This window comes from Homo sapiens, chromosome 6 (assembly GCF_000001405.40).
Source record: "Homo sapiens chromosome 6, GRCh38.p14 Primary Assembly".
Classification (NCBI taxonomy): Eukaryota; Metazoa; Chordata; class Mammalia; order Primates; family Hominidae; genus Homo; species Homo sapiens.
This window is the reverse complement of record NC_000006.12, coordinates 93046968-93049224: the sequence shown is the minus strand read 5'-3', so window position 1 is coordinate 93049224 and position 2257 is coordinate 93046968. Positions and strand designations below refer to the sequence as shown.

General features: G+C 32.0%; 1 annotated feature.

Moving 5' to 3' along the window:
* Positions 359-996: an enhancer, noted in NCBI's record as "NANOG hESC enhancer chr6:93757947-93758584 (GRCh37/hg19 assembly coordinates)". NCBI's record gives its function as "activates a minimal SCP1, AML or CMV promoter by ChIP-STARR-seq in naive H9 embryonic stem cells {active_cell/tissue: H9 hESC(naive)}" and the evidence as "EXISTENCE:reporter gene assay evidence [ECO:0000049][PMID:30033119]".

Genomic DNA, 2257 nt, shown 5'->3' with positions numbered 1-2257 from the left:
TATGAGGTCATATAAGCTCCAATATATAGGCATGCATATAGTATATATATGTGAGTATGTGAATATAGGTATATATATATATATACACACACACACACACACAAATAGTGTGTATTTGTGTGCATATATAGTGTCATTATAATTCATTAATTTTTCTCATAGTCTTGTCTCCAATCTTTTAATTACTATGATTAATAAGTATTTTAATTAAATAATTAATAAAATGCTCCAAATATGTCAGACTAAATGTCTACTTCCCCTTTATTGAGAGAAGGAACATGACTGTTGGTGCTGAACTGGGGATTTCAGTTTTAAAAGATTTTTCTAGGAATTTGAAATTATAACGAATTTTGATCTGTTTGAATAGAAAAGAAAACCTAGTTCTTTTGTAGAGAACTAAAACCTTCAAGTTTGTGTAGACTTTTTCTTTTATTTTTCTTCTTTTTTTTTTTTTACAAATTGAAAGGACAGCATGGAAATAGAGATGAAAATCAGATTTTTTTTTTGAAATCAGAAGATGGGAAATAGTAAGGATCCTGTTAGATTGTCATTTAAAATTGAATTACATTCTCATTTAAATAGAGAAAGCTTAGAAAGTAGCCTATAGGAATTCCCCCTAAGGCTGAAGCCAGACATTCTTTGCTGATTTAGGCCCTTAATTAGGCATAAACTAATCATGCTGTGAGCTCTAGAGACAAGATGACACATAATTGTTAGTGCTAATTTCTTAATTGTTAGAAAGTGATACTTCAGTACATGCTTCATCCAACAAGAATGATCTGTAGTCTGGCATCTCCTCTCTCCATGTGTCAACAATTTACACTTATATGAAAGAAAGAATACTTAACAATACACTTAATTCTGTTTATAGTGTCCTCAAAACAAATTTCATTTTAAAATATAACCCCCTTTCACTAATGGAAAGATTGATGTGGCTCTTCAGTACTGAAAATGGGAAATTCAGTCAACATGTATAAAACTATTTTTTATATTAAATCACCAGTGCTAAATTATCCAGTGGCAAGTCCAAATGGCATCGAAGGACAAAAATGTCTGTTGGATACATCAACCTTCTAAATTTGTTCTGTACTTACATAGTCTCAAAGATAAAAATTGGAATAATAATTACAATTCGTATTAATTCATATTTATTTTATGCTGTGACTTTAGTTGAGGTCAAGAAATCAAATTCATAGTATAGATCTGTATTTCCTTCTTTTGCAAAAGAGCTAGATTTCAAGGGGGTATGGTCATTATAATAAGTTTACTTGCATTTACTTGAATAAGTAATAAAAAATGTGGGGTTAAAATTTCTTGGAAATGACAGTTAAGAAAAGGAACACAATAAGGGGAACAAAAACAAGAATGTCGGGTTTTCTTGTTGGTTAACAAACAATGAGGCCTTTCTCATAGGAACCAAGCAAGAAATAGTTCTTTTGCCTCTGGTTCATTTAGACCTCATAAGTCGAAGGTAGAACCAAATATATTTACTGAAGAGAAGCTGAAAGTTTTATACTACCAATATAAGCTCCAATATATAGGAATGCATTTTCTTCCCTTCTTTATTCTCTCCTCTTCTTGTGCCACTGAATGGACTTCAAAGGAAGAAAAGAAAAGAGCATAGCACAAAGTAGATTTGTATGTTATTCTAAAATTAAAAAGAAAAAACAAAATTTAAGGCAATGTTATTAGTAAATTTTAGTACATTATTGTTTGCAAATATTAAAATTATTGCAGTTTTCTTTTCAAAATTGATTTTAGTGAGTTTTTTCTTATGCTATCAGGATAAGTGTGCATACATTTTGTGATATACTAATGTTAGAGTGCACATTGAGAATTATAACAGCATGCATTTTAAAAGTCCTGGGAAAAATAATTTCAACTCAGCTTTCAGTCCCCAAGAAAGCCTGAGCACAGCTTATGCTCCCAGGACTGGGGATGCAGAGAGGATTGTTTCTGTGCTGCCACCAGAGGCCGACGGTATAGTGAGAAGGCTCTTCTCCAGGGCGAATAAAGGTATGGGTCCAGCAAGACCTATGGGTGGTGGGGGAGCAATGGATAAAGGAGGGGCACTTGTCTTCAGATGTCTGTCTTTGCTGAAAGCACAGCTCTGAATGTCCTCACAATGTGTTCTACCCTTTTCCTAACCTTCTAACAATGAACTGTGTACATGAAAATATGTTAATTTCAATATCTATATTTATTACCATTCTAATAAATTACCACTGATTCATAATTTTTTATTAGAAAGTTTATA